Source organism: Homo sapiens, chromosome 7 (assembly GCF_000001405.40).
Source record: "Homo sapiens chromosome 7, GRCh38.p14 Primary Assembly".
NCBI lineage: Eukaryota > Metazoa > Chordata > Mammalia > Primates > Hominidae > Homo > Homo sapiens.
Window position 1 is genome coordinate 32,965,349 of NC_000007.14, and position 18,719 is coordinate 32,984,067.

The 18,719-nt window shown below is 42.4% G+C and overlaps 1 protein-coding gene across 5 annotated transcripts in view, besides 1 other annotated feature; it reads left to right on the forward strand.

The window, feature by feature from the left end:
• FKBP9 (FKBP prolyl isomerase 9) overlaps positions 1–18,719 on the forward strand; it is a 49,489-nt gene that overhangs the window by 7,909 nt on the left and 22,861 nt on the right. For 4 of the 5 annotated variants that reach the window (NM_001284341.2, NM_007270.5, XM_011515115.4 and 1 more), the window contains 4 exons: positions 9,269–9,414; positions 9,834–10,023; positions 11,006–11,151; positions 15,016–15,205. In NM_001284341.2, the coding sequence (NP_001271270.1) occupies positions 9,269–9,414; positions 9,834–10,023; positions 11,006–11,151; positions 15,016–15,205 (672 nt within the window). Of the gene's footprint in view, positions 1–9,268; positions 9,415–9,833; positions 10,024–11,005; positions 11,152–14,108; positions 14,236–15,015; positions 15,206–18,719 lie in introns of those variants that run through there. The other variant, NM_001284343.2, reaches the window with a different exon arrangement.
• Positions 13,530–14,729: an enhancer, noted in NCBI's record as "P300/CBP strongly-dependent group 1 enhancer chr7:33018490-33019689 (GRCh37/hg19 assembly coordinates)". NCBI's record gives its function as "activates an origin of replication core promoter dependent on BRD2, BRD4, P300/CBP, MED14 and CDK7 cofactors, with strong dependence on P300/CBP, by STARR-seq in HCT116 cells {active_cell/tissue: HCT116}" and the evidence as "EXISTENCE:reporter gene assay evidence [ECO:0000049][PMID:35650434]".

The window sequence follows — 18,719 nt, forward strand, 5'->3', positions numbered from 1 at the left end:
TCGAACTCCTGAGCTCAAGTGATCCACCCGCCTGGGCCTCCCAACGTGCTGGGATTACCGCTTGAGCCACCATGCCCAGCCTGTCATTTGTCCTTTTAAAAGCTCGTTCTTATTGCAGATTTAAACCTACATTTAGAAGCCCCATTCTGCCTTAAGAATATAGCCGTGGGGGCCAGGCACGGTGGCTCATGCCTGTGATCCTGGCACTTTGGGAGGCCGAGGCAGGTGGATCATGAGGTCAGGAGTTCAAGTCAGCCTGACCAACATGGTGAAACCCCATCTCTACTAAAATTACAAAAATTAGCTGGGCGTGGTGGCGTGCACCTGTAATCCCAGCTACTCAGGAGGCTGAGACAGGAGAATTGCTTGAACCCGGGAGGTGGAGGTTGCAGTGAACCAAGATTGCACCACTGCACTCCAGCCTGGGCAACAGAGCGAGACTCCATGTCAAAAAAAAAAAAAAAATATATATATATATATATATATATATATATATGTGTGTACAGATATATATATATACATACATATATATATATAGAGAGAGAGAGAGAGAGCCATGGGGGGCTGGGCGCGGTGGCTCATGCTTCTAATCCGAGCACTTTGGGAGGCCAAGGCAGGTGGATCACCTGAGGTCAGGAGTTCAAGACCAGCCTGGCCAACATGGTGAAACCAAATCTTTACTAAAAATACAAAAATTAGCTGGGCGTGGTAGCGTGTGCCTGTAATCCCAGCTTCTAGGGAGGCTGAGGCAGGAGAATTGCTTGAACATGAGAAGCAGAGGTTGCAGTGAGCCAAGATCGTGCCACTGCACTCCAGCCTTGGTGACAGTGAGACGCCATCTCAAAAAAAAAAAAAAAGAATATAGCCATGAGGATAGTTATTTATCTCAAGTAATGTGTTGCCAATATAATGTGAGCTTTTGTGTAGGCAGTTTAGTGTGTTGACTATGATGTCTCTTGTCTTAGTGGTCCTTGGGTTAATAATTTTAAAGAGCATCATCAGAGGGTGCTACAGACAACTTTCCCATCACCCCCCTGGGGCAGTGATGGAAGGGGATAAAAACAAGCTGATGGAGAGAAAAGGAGGGTGTTGGATGTGCTAGGTGGTTTCCATTTGCCTTTCTAGGTCCACCCTTCACCTGTTCCATTTGCTTTTTGCTCTGGGAGGCTGACATGTATGGACTACATGTGCATAGTATGGGTTGCATTAATGACTCTTTGTCTTCTGGCTTTGGTTGGGTTCAGCCATTGGGACATTGTGATAAGCCATTCCTGCATCACTGGAAAGAAATACCCAAGGCTGGGTAATTTATAAGAAAAGAGGTTTAATTGGCTCACAGTTCTGCAGGCTGTACAGGAAGCATTGCATGCTGTCGTCAGCTTCTGGTGAGGACCTCAGGAGATTTATAGTCATGGTGGAAGGGAAAAGGGGAGCAGACATCTCACATGGCAAGAGCAGGAGCAAGAGAGAGGGTGGGAGGTGCCACACACTTTTAAACAAGCAGATCTGTGAACTCATTCATCACCGAGGGGATGGCGCTAAGCCCTCCCACCAGGCCCCACCTCCAACACTGGGGATTACATTTCAACATGAGATTTGGCATGGACACAGATCCAAACCCTATCAGGCATCAGATGTTCAAAGCGAGGGAAGAGAGTGAGGTGAAGGTATGTATTCCTCTGGCTTCCTGTCTGTAGGGTCACCATGGATTGTGGCCCTAAACTAAAGGGCCCGGTTCCTGTCAGGTAACCCCTAGCTGCCCTCTCTGTCTCTGTCATTCAAGCTCAGGTGTGATAGCAGCATTCCCCACCCAGCCACAGAGGTACTATCCCTTGTGTTTTGCTGTGTTCTGTACACACCTTTGCACACACCCACTTTGTTATTACTTTAAAAAAACCATCAAATTTACCATTGTAACTGTTTTGAACTGTATAATAGTGTTAGCTATATTCACACTGTTGTGCAATATATCTCTAGAATTTTTCCATCTTGCAAAATTGAAACTTTGTGCCCACTGAACAACTTCTCTGCATTTTTCCTTCTTCCTTGTCCGCTGATAACAACATTCCACTTTCTGTTTCTATGAGTTTAACTACTTTAGATACCTCATATAATTCGTGGAATCATGCAGTATTTGTCTTTCTGTGACTGGCTTATTTCATTTTACGTAATCTCCTCAAGGTTCATCCATATTGTAGCATGTGATAGGATTTCCTTCCTTTTTAAGGCGGAATAATATTTCATTGTGTGTGTATACCACATATTTTTTATCCATTTATTTGTCTATGGACATTTAGATTGCTTCTAGCTTTTGGCTATTGTAAATCGTGCTGAGTTGAACATGTGTGTGCAAATATCTGAGTTGTTGTTTTGTTTTTGTTTTAGTTTAGACAGAGTGGTTTTTTTGTTTTGTTTTGTTTTTTGAGACAGAGTTTCGCTCTTATTGCCTGGGCTGGAGTACAGTAGTGCGATCTCAGCTCATCGCAACCTCCGCCTCCCAGGTTCAAGTGATTCTCCTGCCTCAGCCTCCTGAGTAGCTGGGATTACAGGCACCCAGCACTATGCCCAGCTGATTTTTGTATTTTTAGTAGAGACAGGGTTTCTCCGTGTTGGTCAGGCTGGTTTCTAACTCCCGACCTCAGGTGATCCACCCACCTCAGCCTCCCAAAGTGTTGGGATTACAGGCGTGAGCCACCGCGCCCAGCTTAGACAGAGTCTTTTGTTCTGTTGCCCAGGGTCGAGTGCAGTGGCATGATCACAGCTTACTGCAGCCTTGACCTCCTGAGCTCAAGTGATCCTCTCACTTCAACCTCCCGAGTACCTGGGACTACAGTACCTTTGCACCACCACACATGGCTAATTTTTGTGTTTTTGTAAAGATGGTGTTTCACCAGGTTGCCTAGGCTGGTCTTGAACTCTTGGGCTCAAGCTTCAACCTTGGATTACAGGCATGAGCCACTGCGTCCGGCCTGATTCTGTTTTCAGTTCTTTTGGGTATACACCAAGAGATAGGATTGCTAGATCATACAGTACTTCTATTTTTAATTTTTTGAGGAGCCTACAGACCATTTTCTAGAGCAAGTACATTTTGCATTCCCATCAAAGTGCACAAAGATTCCAATTTCTCCATATCCTCTCCATCACTTTTTATTTTCCAGTTTTTTGATAGTGGCCATTCTAACAAGTGTGTGTGAGGTAATATTGCATTGTGGTTTTCTTTTTCTTTCTTTTTTTTTTTTTTGAGACAGAGTTTCACTTTTGTCGCCCAGGCAGGAGTGCAATGGTGTGATCTTAGCTCACTGCAACCTCTGCCTCCTAGGTTCAAGCAATTCTTCTGCCTCAGTCCCCTGAGTAGCTGGGACTACAGGCATATGCCACCATGCCTGGCTAATTTTTGTATTTTTAGTAGAGACGGGGTTTTGCCTCAGCCCCCCGAGTAGCTGGGATTACAGGCATATGCCACCATGCCTGGCTAATTTTTGTATTTTTAGTAGAGACGGGGTTTTGCCATGTTGGCCAGGCTGGTCTTGAACTCCTGACCTCAGTTGATCCGCCCACCTCAGCCTCCCAAAGTGCTGGGATTACAGGCATGAGCCACCATGCCTGGCCTGCATTGTGGTTTTTGATTTGCATTTCTCTGCTGTTTAGTGATGTGGAGCATCTTTTCATTCGCTTGTTGGCCATTTGTATATCTTTTTTGGAGAAATATTCATTCAATCCCTTTGCTCATTTTAAAATTGGATTATTTTGTGGTCGTTGAGTTTTAGGAGTTCTTTATATATTCTAGATATTAATCCCTTATCATATATGAGGTTTGCAAACATTTTCTCCCATTTTTTAGGTTGCCTTTTTACTCTGTTGATTGTTTTCTTTGCTGTTCAGAGTTTTAAAGTTTGACAAAGTCCTCTTTGTCTGTTTTTGTTTTTGTTACCTGTGCTTTTGGTGTCATATCCAATCCAATGTCATGATGCTTTTCCCTTGTGTTTTTTTCCTAGTTTTATAGTTTTGGATCTTATATTTATGCATTTAATCCATTTTGAATTGATTGTTTCCTATGGTATAAAGTAAGAATCTCCAACTTTATTCTTTTGCATGTGGAGATCCAATTTTCCCAGCACCGTTTATTGAAGAGACCATCCTTACCCACTGTGTAGCCTTAGCCCTTGTCAAAGATCATTTGACCATATAGGCAAAAGTTTATTTCTGGGCTATTTTGATCTATTGGTCTATGTGTCTGTATTTGGGTCAGTACCATGCTGCCTTGATTATGATAGCTTCATAATATGTTTCAAAATCAGGAAGTGTGAAGCCTCCAGTTTTGTTCTTCTTTCTCAGGATTGTTTTGGCTCTTTAGAGTCCTTCAAGATTCCAAGGCCAGGCACCGTGGCTCACACCTGTAATCCCAGCACTTTGGGAGGCCGAGGCAGTCTGATCACCTGAGGTCAGGAGTTCAAGACCAGCCTGGCCAACATGGTGAAGCCCTGTCTCTACTAAAAATACAAAAATTAGCCAGGCATGGTGGCGGGCCCCTGTAATCCCAGCTACTCAGGAGGCCGAGGCAGAATTGCTTGAACCCGGGAGGCAGAAGTTGCAGTGAGCCGAGATTGCACCACTGCACTCTAGCCTGGGCGACAGAGTGAGACTCTATCTCAAAAAAAGAAAAAAATTCCGTATGAATTTTAGTTTAGTTTTTTTTTTTCTATTTCTGCAAAAAATGCCATCAGGATTTTGGTAGGAATTGCATTGAATCAATAGATTGCTTTGGTTAGTGTGGACATCTTAGCCATATTAAGTCTTCCCATCCATGAACGAGAAATGTCTTTCCATTTATTCGTGTCCTCTTTAATTTCTTTCTTTCTTTTTTTAGAGACAGAGTCTCGCTCTGTCGCCCAGACTGGAGTGAAGTGGTGCAATTTCGGCTCACCACAATCTCCACCTCCCAAGTTCAAGCGATTCTCCTGTCTCAGCCTCCCGAGTAGCTGGTATTACAGGCATATGCCACCACGCCTGTCTAATTTTTGTATTTTTAGTAGAGACAGGTTTCACCATGTTGGCCAGGCTGGTCTCAAACTCCTGACTTCAGGTGATCCGCCCGCCTTGGCCTCCCAAAGTGCAGGGATTACATGCATGAGCCACTGCACCTGGCCCTCTTTAATTTCTTTCAGCAATGTTTTTCTAGTTTCCATTGTAGTCTTTTGCCTCCTTGGTTAGGTTTAATCCTAAGTATTTCATTCTTCTTGATGCTATTGTAAATAGAATTATTTTGTTCATTTCCTTTTTTAAGATTGTTCATTATTAGTGTATAGAAATGCATCTGATTTTGGGGTGTTGATTTTGTATCCTGCAACTTTGCCAAATTTGTTTATTAGTTGTTTTTTTTTCCCCCACAGAACCATCAAGTCCAATGTTTATTAGTTTTAACAGCTTTTTTTATGGACTCTTATAGGGTTTTCTATATATAAAGTTATTTTGTCAGTTAAAAGAGATATTTTTACTTCTTCCTTTCCAATTTCTGTGCCATGTATTTCTTTTTCTTGCTTAATTGCTCTAGCTAGGAGTTCCAGGACCATGCTGAATAGAAGTGTTGAAACCAAGCATCTTTTCCTTGTTCCCAATCACAGGGGAACACCTTTCAGTTTTTCACCATTGATTATGATCTCAGCTGTGCACAACCCCATTATTAAACTTTCCTGGAACAGCTTCGTTTGGGTGTGTCATCTGTTTCCTGCAGGCCCCTGAATGAGATGCCTGTAAAAGGTGTAAATAAGCCAGATCCCAGGACAGGTTGTATAAATGCTTACTCCAGAGTGTGCAGAAGTAATTTTCATGACCAGTTCTGGGCTTGATGCTGCCCATGAGTTTGTGCCATTTGTGCTGATCAGAATAAATTTGTTCAGAACAACTTTATTTTTCCAGATGGTCAGAATTTTAAGCAGTAGATAAGACTGGTCTTGCATTGTTAGCCTCTTATATAAATGTATACATTTTCTTTCAGAAAGATTTTTTGGTTTTTAGCACTTTGGTGCTTAATTGTTCACAGTGCTTAGGCGACATCAAATGAAGAAGTTAATACTGTGAGGCAACAACTCTTTCTTTCTTCCTTTCTTCCTTTCTTTCTTCCTTTCTTCCTTTCTTTCTTTCCTTTCTTTCTTTCCAGGATCTCACTCTGTCACCCAGGATGGAGTGCCAGGGTATGATCTTGGCTCACTGCAGCCTCTGCCTCCCAGGTTCAAGCGATTCTCCCACCTCAGTCTCCCAAGTAGCTGGGACCACATGCACATACCGCCATGCTCAGCTAATTTTTTGTATTTTTAGTAGAGATGGGATTTCACAATGTTGCCCAAGCTGGGCAACAACTGTTTCTATACACCTCTAGGGATGCCCTGACCCTGGAGTGTGAGATTGAGATGGTCCTAGATTCTTGCTTTTTTCCCTCCTCATGTTTAATTTCATGAGCTTGGGAAATTTTGTAATCTCCAAAGAGCCTGAGTATCATAGCACCCACCTTGAAGTATTGTATGAGGATTAAATGGTGTAGTATATATTGAAGAGCTTAGTTTGCTACTGTGCCCAATAAATAATAGATACTCTGTAAACAGTAGTTAGTATTAAAAAGTTTTGTTAAATTTAGGAAGTATATTCTGGTTCTGTGAATGAAAAAAATATTTTTAAAGTAGTTTCTTGCCGGTGCATTGTTGCTGCTTGCCTGTGTTCTGTGCTTGGGAGTCTTTGAAGTCTTGCTTTCTGGCCCATTATTATAATAAATCTGCCAGTTTGATGATAGCTTAGTGGCAGGGCGAGTCCCCAGCCAAGTGTAATTCAAGAGCAGGCATTCCAGGGGGTGGGGATTGGGGCCCCGGAGGTAGAGGGTGGAGGTGTAAAGCTGACTTGGGCACACAACTGGCCATGTGCTTTTGTCCTCTGGCTTGTTGGCCTGTACTTGAAATCTTGCTTTCTGTTCACTGACCTTGAAGAAAGGAAACTTATTAAAATAGGCTGTAAAACTAGGAGGAGAGGGAGAAGAGGGCCAGGTCTCAGGAAGCTGCCCTGAGGGGAGTGGTGAGGTGGACTCTGTTGCTCGCCCAAACTGTTCATTAGGGAAAAAGAGGAAAAAGTGAAAATATGTTGCAAAATGAAGGGTGACGCATTCTCATGAAGTAAATCCCAGCAGCTCTTAACATTTTATTACATAATTAATTACATTATCATTTTGAAAAGTAAGATAATTAAAGAGAAAACAAATTCAGTCACCTGAAGTCCTCTACCTGTAGATGATAGATAATATTTCATGTATTGCCTTGTGGATTTTTTCATATGCATCTATATATGTAAGTTGAAAACGGAGTGATTTTATACTGTGTTAACCTGTTCCCCCCCCACCCTTTTTGAGACAAAGTTTCACTCTGTCACCCAGGCTGGATGACAGTGCAGTGGCACCATCTCAGCTCACTGCAACCTTCACCTCCCAGGTTCAAGCAATGCTTGTACCTCAGGCTCCCAAGTAGCTGGGACTACAGGTGCACACCACCACGCCTGGCTAATTTTGTATTTTTAGTAGAGATGGGGTTTCACCATGTTGGCCAGGCTGGTCTCGAACTCCTAATCTCAAGTGATCCACCGTCCTTGGCCTCCCAAAGTGCTGAGATTACAGGCATGAGCCACCACGCCTGGCATTGTAACCTGCCCTTTACTCTTATTGTATATATCCCTCCGCGTCAGTGAGTAAAAATCTGTTATAAAATGCCATAGAGCATTTTATTTTATGTCTTCTGAAACCCTGTGGGTCTCTATCAGTATATAAGGTACTTGTAGGCAAAGTCCATGCCTTGTACTTTATATCCCCCAAAGCACCTGGCACAGTCCCCTAATAGGCAAACCCCTGTTGATTGCTAAATTTGACATTGAAGAAGATAAAGGTGTGAGTCACAGCCATGATTTCCTTATTTATCTTTTGATCTAAGGCTGTTGCCTATCAGCCTTTAAAACACGTATATTAGTGATCCTAAGACTACATCATACTTTCTATTACCTGTGATAATTATAGCAATATTGGCATAACACTTAGGTTTTCAGAGCATTTTTCACGTTGTTACACAGATCCTGGGGAGGCTGTTATTATTTCTTGCATTTTGCAGTGGAGGAAACTGAGGTTAAGAGAGTTTAAGTATGTTTTATGCTGTTATCATGCTGCCTCTGTGTTTAACTTAGCTGGATGACTTTAAAAAAAATCAAGTGTGTGTGTGTGTGTGTGTGTGTGTTAACTTTGGCCATTAGTACCTATGATGTTGCTTTTAGGTACCAATCATATAGAAAATGAAATGAAGTTTTTTGTTGTTTTTTTTTTTTTTTTTTTTTTTTTTGACACAGAGTCTTGCTCTGTCACCTAGGCTGGAGTGCAGTGGCGCTATCTTGGCTCACTGCAACCTCCGCCTCCCGAGTTCAAGTGATTCTCCTGTCTCAGCCTCCCGAGTAGCTGGGATTACAGGCGCCTGCCACCACGCCTGGCTAATTTTTTGTATTTTTAGTAGAGATGGGGTTTCACCGTGTTGGCCAGGCTGGTTTCAAACTGCTGACCTCAGGTGATCCACTCTCCTCGGCCTCCCAAAGTGTTGGGATTACAGGCGTGAGCCACTGCACCTGGCTGTAAAGTCTTTTTTTAAAATTTTATTTTATTTTATTTTTTGAGACTCTGTCGCCCAGGCTGGAGTGCAGTGGTGCAATCATAGCTCACTGCAGCCTCAAACTCTTGGGCTCAAGCGATCCTCCTACCTCAGCTTCCAAAGTAGCTGGGACTATAGGCATGCACCACCACACCTGGCTAATTATATGTATTTATTTATTTAGTAGAGGCGGGGGGGCCTCACTTTGTTGCCCCGGCTGGTCTCGAACTCCTAACTTCAACTTAACTCCTCTTGCCTTGGCCTTCCAAAGCCCTGGCCTGACCACAGCCAACTCTTTCTTTTTTGTGTGTGTGAAAGAATAGGTAACTATTTTGCAAAATCAGTTTAACACATTTTTTTTTTTTTTGGAGAGAGTTATGCTGATTCTTATTGAACTAGATTTGCTGGCAATATTCAAGGTAGTCTAAAATTTCCAACCCTACAAGTACTGTCCAGTGGAGATGTTCCTGTATCAGTAACTCCTAGGCAGGGTTTTTGCTTTGCTATGGCCCCATTACATCTGTGGGCACATTTTTACAGGTTGGTTTTTACTGAGGAAGGGACTATTTATACTTTTCTTTCTCTTTCCCTACCCTTTGGGCCTTCAGCTATGACAGAGACTCCACTTTCAATGTGTTTGTGGGAAAAGGACAGCTGATCACAGGGATGGACCAGGCTCTTGTTGGGATGTGCGTAAACGAGAGACGTTTCGTGAAGATTCCCCCAAAGCTTGCCTACGGAAATGAAGGAGTTTGTAAGCTTTTCTTCCTCGTTTATAAACACGTCAGCAGAAACAATGAGAACACTTTTAGGATGTTAAGTCAAACAGACTGGAGAATCTTGGAAGCTTTAGATTGGGGGAAAATGAAAAGCAGTGAACTCATACACAGCTAAAATTTCCATCTTAGGTTTATTTCTTCTAGATGTGAAAGAAAGTGTCATTAACACAGATGTACTGAATGATACCCTCAATGAGAAGAAGACTGTTTTTTCTCTTTTCTTTCAATTTCATTTGGAGGAAAGAGGGAGGAAGAATGGGTCATTTTGGGATTGTATAGCGGTGACTGCTTGAACCCTTTTGGCCCACATTCACCTTGGGAGCATCCTAGGTGTTTATTTATCTGGCCTGAAAGGCAGCAACTGTGAACTCAGTGTGTAATCTTTAATTTCTAGCTGGTGTGATCCCCCCCAATTCAGTGCTTCATTTTGATGTACTTCTGATGGATATTTGGAATTCTGAAGACCAGGTTCAGATTCACACCTATTTCAAGCCCCCGAGTTGCCCTCGGACCATCCAGGTGTCTGATTTTGTGAGGTACCACTACAACGGGACGTTCCTGGACGGAACTCTGTTTGATTCGAGGTAAGTCCTGTCGTTCATGGCAGTATCAGTGAAATGTCCCATGCATAGTTCTTTCCTTCTGTCTTACTTGCTTTTTATGCTGATGGGGATACCAGAATAAGGACTCTTCTCAACTGTAATCAGTACTGAACTCATCTACTTAAGACTTTTGGTCAGTGTTGCATCTTCTCTGGTGCCAGAGTCAAAATTTTAATACATCTTAGAAACATTGAAGAGCAGTGTTTATCTAACTTAACAGTATTTTGAGATCTCATCATTAAGTGAAAGGTTCTATTTCTTTCTTTTTTTTTTTTGAGATGGATTCTCGCCCTGTCACCCAGGCTGGAGTACAGTGGCACGATCTTGGCTCACTGCAACCTCTGCCTCCTGGGTTCAAGCGGTTCTCCTGTCTCAGCCTCCCAAGTAGCTGGGACTACAGGCGCATGCCACCACACCAAGCTAATTTTTTGTATTTTTAATAGAGACGGGGTTTCAGCATATTAGCCAGGGTGTTCTCGATCTCCTGACCTCATGATCTGCCTGCCTTGGCCTCCCAAAGTGCTGGGATTACAGGCGTGAGCCACTGCACCCGGCCGTGTAAGTCTCTATTTCTAAGGAGGCTTATGCACGTTTTGGTTCCTTTTTATAGTTTTCCCATGGAAGCAAGAGGGAAAAGATGAATGTATGTGAAGCTATGGAGAGGCATGGGGCTACACGGGAGATCAGGGAACCCTTCGCAATTTCTTCTCATTAGAGCGTGTTTGATTAGTGGAATAGCTGGCCTGTTTTTGTCTATCACTAGTATAAATGCATGCTTTTTATTTCTTTCTAAACTTGAGGACATCTGCCCTGTGTTTGGGGGAAAAGATCCATAAATGTCTATCTCTAGGATGGGTATGGGATCATCGTTTAGCTGATATTTGGGTAAGAAAAACCGTACGGAGAGATGAGTTGGAAATATCCTCATGGTGTGGAACTTTTTCCCTTTCTCATTACCTTTCAGTCACAATCGCATGAAAACATATGACACGTATGTGGGAATTGGCTGGCTGATTCCTGGAATGGATAAAGGGCTGCTGGGGATGTGTGTGGGTGAGAAGCGCATCATCACCATTCCTCCTTTTCTGGCCTATGGAGAGGATGGAGATGGTAAGTCCGTCTCCTTCTTGGAGCCACTCTTTCCTACCCTTATTTTTATTGCAGTGGTTAATTCAGTTGTCACCACATGAAACCCACTAGACCTTTCGGTCTAGACCTACACTGGCCAATATGGTAACCACTAGCTACATGTGGCTATTAATTAGCTAAAATTTAAAATTCAGTTCCTTGGTCACACTGCTACATTTTAGGTACCCAATAGCCTCACGTTGCTGAGGACCACCATAGTGGACAGTGCAGATACAGACCCAGATCATTTCCATCACTCAGAAAGTTCTATTTGACAGTGCTAGTCTGGATTGTCTGCTGTCTGATGATTGAGTTGCAGAAATTTCCACTTACTTATAGTCATTGGCATTCATAAGTAACCCCCTCTGCCCCTGTTGTACCTGCCATGGCCTTGGCCACCAACCTCTCTGGCTTTAACATTTGTGAAATGAGACTTGAATTAGACACTATAAAAGTTGCAGATATCCAGGTAGAAATTTAGCCATACAATGTCAGAATTGCCAGATTTCCCCGTTTGCACCTCTATGATGAGTTTTACCTATGGCATTAACTCCATATGGACAAAAGCAAAGTGTAATGTTAGAAAACACATTAATTACAACTAGTGTCCTGTTTGTAGTTTTACTGTGAAGGAAAACACATAATATTGACTGATAAATGGAATGTCTCAGGTACTCATGTTTGAATTTCAGGTGCGTTTAGTCATATTGACATGCTGGCACAACATAGAGACCGGTAGACATTTAAACAGCAGATGGATACAATGATGTGTTGATTCATAATGGGGATATGTTCTGAGAAAGGCATCATTAGGCAATTGCATTGTTGTGCAAATGCCATAGAGTGCACTTACACAATCCTAGGTGCTACATCCTGCTGCACACTTAGGCTGTGTGGTGTAACCTGTTTCCTCTAGGCTGCAAACCTGCACAGCATCTGTACTGAATCCTGTGAGCTACTGTAACACAATGGTAAGAATTTGTGTATCTAAACATAGAAAAGGTACAGTAAAGACATGATATGATAATCTCATGGGACCACTCTCATATATGTGGTCTGTTGTTGACCAAAACTTCATTGTGCAGCACATGATTTTGTAGTTAAGGATATAAATGAGAACATGATGCTTCTTAAGAAGTTTACTGATAGTGATAGCCAGCTTACAATAGCCAATATGTTTTCAACGTTTTTTCCTGGCTCTGTGGAGCGGAGCAGGAGCAGAAGGGAGCCTGAGGTGATGGGGCTCAGCCTTCTCTCCTTTCTATCTCCATATATATATATATACTTATATATATATATGTATATATACACGCCCATATATATATATACACTCATATATATATATACATGCCCATATATATATATGTATATATACACTCATATATATATACTCATATATATATACACTTTTTTTTTTTTTTTGAGACAGAGTCTCACTCTGTTGCCCAGGCTGGAGTGCAGTGGTGCGATCTCGGCTCACTGCAACCTCTATCTCCTGGATTCAAGAGATTCTCCTGCCTCAGCCTCCTGGGTAGCTTGGACTACAGGCGTATGCAACCATGCCTGGCAGATTTTTGTATTTTTAGTAGAGACAGCATTTCGCCATGTTGGCCAGACTTGTCTCAAACTGCTGAGGTCAAGCCATCCATCCACCTCGGCCTCCCAAAGTGCTGGGATTACAGGTGTGAACCACTGTGCCTGGCCCACTTTTATATATTTTACATGCTGGGGATCTGCAGATGGTTTCTTAAACAGAGCATTAGGGGTGGAATTCCCTACTAAAAGAAAAATAAAGTTTAAAGCAGTGCCATAAATATGTCTTAATTCTCCCCCCCACTGAGATATAAGATACTGTTATTATTATTTTTAGAGACAGGGTCTCACTCTGTCACCCAGACTGGAGTGACACCATCATAGCTCACTGTAACCTCAAACTCCTGGGTGATCCTCCTGCCTCAGCCTTCCGAATAGTTAGGAGTACAGACGTGTGCCACCATGCTTGGCTAGTTAAAAAAGTTTTTTTAGAGACAGTGTCTCGCTACGTTACCCAGGCTTACCTGGAAATCCTGGACTCAAGCGATCCTCCCACCTCAGCCTCCCAAAGCGCTGGGATTACGGGTGGGAGCCACTGTGCCTGGCAGTTACTGTTTTCTTATTGATGTTCAAATGGTCTTGTCCTTGGCCCCAAGAAGTTCATTCACGTTGGCTCCCAGATCCTTTTGTCATCAGCCACATAACAAAACCAGATGTGAGCCTAATATGAGAAATATTATTTCTTTACTTTAAATAAATAATAGCTTATTTAGAGTAGTTATTTTTGAATACTTTATACTTGAATACTGTGCTCGGCTATCCAAGTATAACTTTAAATGGGTGAACTGTATGGTATGTGAATTATATCTCTGCAAAGTTGCTATAGAAAACATTATTCATTTAGTACACATTAATGCTAGAAAAATTGAAACCCCAGGCCGGGCGCAGTGGCTGCCGCCTGTAATCCCAGCACTTTGGGAGGCTGATTTGGGTGGATCGCCTGAGGTCGGGAGTTCAAGACCAGCCTGGCCAGCATGGGGAAACCCCGTCTCTACTAAAAATACAAAATTTAGCCAGGCGTGGTGGCAGGTGCCTGTAATCCCAGCTACTCGGGAAGCTGAGGCAGGAGAATCGCTTGAACCCAGGAGGCGAAGGTTGCAGTGAGCCAAGATTGAGCTATTACACTCCAGCCTGGGCAACAGAGCGAGACTCCGTCTCAAGAAAAAAAAAAAGAAAAGAAAAATTTAAACCCCATGGTTACTTTTAAGGCTTTCATTTTTCTCTTAAATGAAAAGATACAGTAAGGCACAAAAGATTAATATTCTATCTCCCACGCATGCGATTTAGGGATTGACCACACCTTGCATTCCAGGGGCTGACTCAGCAGCCGGCTTTCAGCAGATTTCATCATTCCTTGGATGGGAAGGAGATGCAGGGTGGGCTTTGCCAAAGGCCAGTGGAAGGAGCTCAGGCTTGGCGGCATCTGGTTTGCTTGTCTGGGCCTACTCCTTTGCATGATATAACAAATGGCAGGTAAAACTGAGGGATTGGTTTGTTGGTTAACTTTCTACTATCCCAAATTACTGGATTTTGAGTTATTTATTGGTTGATGTTGATCTTTGCAGGAAGAACTAGTGTCCTGTAATCTCTTCATGTGGATTTCATTTTGCAGATATTCAAAATATTCCCACTGGCAGGAACATCCAAGAGAAGCAGTACTACCCAGAAGTGAGATAGAAGTGATTTGAGGACTATTTATTTATATTTTGGATTGTGGGTGCCATTTTTTTCTCTGTTATTCTGCTTTCATCTTATTTATATCTTGCTTTGGATATACTTAAAGCATTGAGTTTTACTTTTTGCCTCTAAAAAATTGGCCGTTCGTTTCAAAGAACAAGTCTGTGTACAGTTCTCCAGAACCAGACCAGAGATTTGGAATTTTCTCCTTTAAATGTCTGTGGTTTGCATTTATTCACAAACAGAAACCCACAGAGGTATGTATTTGGGTTTGCCTGTGGGTGCCTGCCCACCTACATAAAGCCTTGATTTTCCAGCATGAGTCCAGAAAATATGGTCATGGTAGTCTCTTATGTCATTAATACCAATTTTCTCCTTTTGCTGAGTCAGGTTTTAGATTATACCATCAGCCCATGGTTGGACACCATGGGGGCCCATTCAAGACCTGGAAGAACATTTGTTTCCTTGGCTTCAAAACCTCAAGAAATGAATAACACCAACCCCAAGCCTGTTGAGTTGTAAAGTACTTCCTAAATCCTGTGTCCCGTTTAATCATCTTCTCCCATTCCATTCTAGGGAAAGACATTCCCGGTCAGGCATCTCTGGTGTTTGATGTTGCATTATTGGACCTCCATAACCCCAAGGACAGCATTTCCATTGAGAACAAGGTAGTACCTGAAAACTGTGAGCGGATAAGTCAAAGTGGGGACTTTCTCAGGTATCATTACAATGGCACGCTTCTGGATGGCACCCTCTTTGATTCCAGGTAAGGAAATGATTAAAGTCTTCAATTGCCAGAACATTGTATTAAATAAAGTCTGCCATTGGCTGGACCATGATTTAAATACTCTGTCCATGCTGATTTGTAGTTGGCATTTTCATCTCTAATACAAGTTTCTGTTTTCTGATACTTAGTTCTTTCCTCCCTTCCTTCCTTCCTTTCTTTCTTTCTTTTTTTTTGAGACGGGGTCTCGTTCTGTCATCCAGTGTGGAGTGCAGTGCAGCTGCATGATCGTGGCTTTCTGCAGCCTTGAACTCCTGGGCTCAAGCAATTCTCTCATCTCAGCCTCCTTAGTAGCTAGGACGATAGGCGTGTGCCACCATGCTTGGCTAATGTTTTATTTTTTGTAGAGATGGGCTTAAGTTTCTTCATAGGCTCTTGTAACCATTTCTTTCTTGGGGGCTGTTTTAGATGGTTCTGCAGGAAGACAGGAGAGACTCACCCTCGACTCCCACCATCCCCCTATACTGTGCTTAGTTATCCAGTTATAAACCTCATTATGGGGCCCAAGATGAGGAGTGGCCAGAAGTGATGTCAAGGAGGTACAGTGGGCAGAGAATGGGCTTAATGCCAAGAGAGCTGGGCTCTAGCCCCTGTCTGTGGTGCACTAGCTGTATGACTTTGGATAGTGTTTGACTGCCTTGGACTTCATTTTTCCCTATTCCAGCAACTTTGTCAAGTAGGTGGTTAGATTAAAGAGATAAGGTATGTGTCACAGTGCTTTACAAATTTCAGAGGCTGATCAGCTGGACGGCACTGGTTGGATGCATTCAGCTCCCTTCTGGATGCTGGGTGCCATAGAGGCTAATTACTGGCCTCTTTTGTTGTTCAAAGTTTTGTTTTGTTTATCAGCCATGGCCTGCAATTGTAGAGATGGCTTGTGTTTGGCCTGTTTTGCTCATTCTAGTGGCATGTGTTGTTTGAAACTACTCCTTTAGCTTCCAGTAGAGCAAACAAGTAGTGACAGCAACCTCCCTGTCTCTGAGGTGATAGACTTCTAGTTAATGTAGTCATCCAAAACCATTACAGAAGAATTTGTATATGGCATTATTTCATTTGAATAATTCATTCTTGTTCCTAGGATCTCTTTTAAATTTGTCATTTAAATTTTTTGGAAAAGAGTAATAGTTACATAGCTCAAAACCAAAACAAAGTATGCATTAAGATATGTTGTAAATTAGCCAGGCGTGCACTGGCGGGTGCCTGTAATCCCAGCTACTCAGGAGGCTGAGTCAGGAGAATGACTTGAACCCAGGAGGCGGAGGTTGCAGTGAGCTGAGATCACACCACTGCACTCCAGCCTGGGCAACAGAGCGAGACTCTGTCTCAAAAAAAAAAAAAAAAGAAAAGATATGTTGTATACCTGTTCCTGTCTGCCTAACCTCCCTGTCTCCCCTACCCCTTAGAGTTAACCATCTTTATTGGTTTCTATTTTTAATTTTTCCAATGTCTGGATTTTTTTTTTTTTTTGAGGCAGAGTCTCACTCTGTCACCCAGGCTGCAGTGCAGTGGCACAATCTTGGCTCACTGCAACCTCCACCTCCCAGGTTCAAGTGATTCCCCTGCCTCAGCCTCCCAAGTAGCTGGGGTTACAGGCACACACCACCACGCCTGGCTAATTTTTGTATTTTTAGTAGAAACGGGGTTTCACCATATTGGCCAGGCTGGTCTCGAACTCCTGACCTCAGGTGATCCACCCAACGCAGCCTCCCAAAGTGCTGGGATTATAGTCATGAGCCACTGGGCCCAGCCTAATGTGTGGATTTTTTAAAATGCAAGTATAAGCAAACACAAATGTTATTTTCTTCTCCTTAAATTATACGGATTTCAGAATATAGTATTACTAGGGAACAAGGTGGTGTTCTCCTTGATTTTTGTTACTCTGGGATTTTTCCATACTAATACATAGAGAGAAATCCTTTATTTTTTACATCTACATGGCGTCCCATTGGGTGAGTATATTGTATTTAGATAACCATTCCCCTATTGATGAATATTTGAGTTGTTTTTATCTTTTTCTGTTACCAAAAAAAAATCATTTAGTGCATATGTGTATTATTCTTTGTTACATTCCAGTGTGGTTCTGTTCTTTATTCCCTGGAATTATATTTCCAATTGAAAGACCACTTTTCTGTGTACACCAGATTTCTGTTCATATAATGGAACCACAGTTTTCTTAGGTTTCAAGAGCTTTCCATTTTAGTACAGTGGGATCTAGCCCATTCTAACAGCTGCATATATTTCATTGTATAGATTTGCCTATATTTAGGTAATCAATCCTTGTTGTTTGTCCTGTATGTTTCCTGTATTTTGACACTTAAGGCTGCAGTAATTATTTTTGTAGGGAAATCTTAAAATATATGATTAATTGTTTCCCTGGGATACATCGCTAGAAGAATCTCTGGGTCAAAGGTTATGTGTGTGTGTGTGTGTGTGTGTGTGTGTGTGTGTGTGTCTATGTGTGTGTGTTTTGAGACGGAGTTTCGCTCTTCTTGCCCAGGCTGGAGTGCAATGGCGTGATCTCAGCACACTGCAACCTCCGTCTCGTGGGTTCAAGCGATTCTCGTGTCTCAGCCTCCTTAGTAGCTAGGATTACAGGCATGAGCCACCACTCCCAGCTAATTTTGTATTTTTAGTAGAGATAGGGGTTTCATCATATTGGCCAGGCTGGTCTTGAACTCCTGACCTCAGGTGATCTGCCTGCTTCGGCCTCCCAAAGTGTTGAGATTATAGGTGTGAGCCACTGCGCCCTGCCTTTTTTTTTGAGACAGTATCTTGCTTTGTCACCCAGGCTGGAATGCAGTGGTGTGACCTCGGCTCACTGCAACCTCCACCTGCTGGGTTCAAGTGATTCTCCTGCCTCAGCCTCCCGAGTAGCTAGGATTACAGGCGCCTGTCACCACACCAGGCTAATTTTTGTATTTTTGATAGAGACAGGGTTTTGCCATGTTGGCCAGGCTGGTGTCAAACTCCTGACCTCAAGTCATCTGCCCGCCTCGGCCTCCCAAAGTGCTGGGATTACAGGTATGAGCCACTGCGCCCAGTGGTTATGTGTATTTTTATACCTTTTGATACATACTACCAAGTTGCCCTCAAGGAAGGTTTTACTCAGCATCACAGTTTAAGAGTATCCCATTCCCTACAAATTCAGTAACATTGGGTATCATTTAAAAATTATCTTGGCTAATTTATAGGAGAAAACAATGATACCTGTGGTTTTAATCTGAATTTTCTATTGCTATTGGGATTGAAATTCCTTTGGGTGTTTATTTGAGTACTTTCTTTTGTGAACTACCTGTTCAGGTCCTTTGCCTATTTTTCTATTTAGGGCATTGGCATTTGTCTGTTTCTTGTTGATTTGAAGAGCTCTACACATTAAAAATATTAATTATTTTATGGCTGCATATTATTAAAAACATTTTCCTCAATTTATTTGTTTGTTAATTTTGGTTATGTTGATTTTTGGCCCATTTAACTGTAAACCTGTTATGTTGTTAAA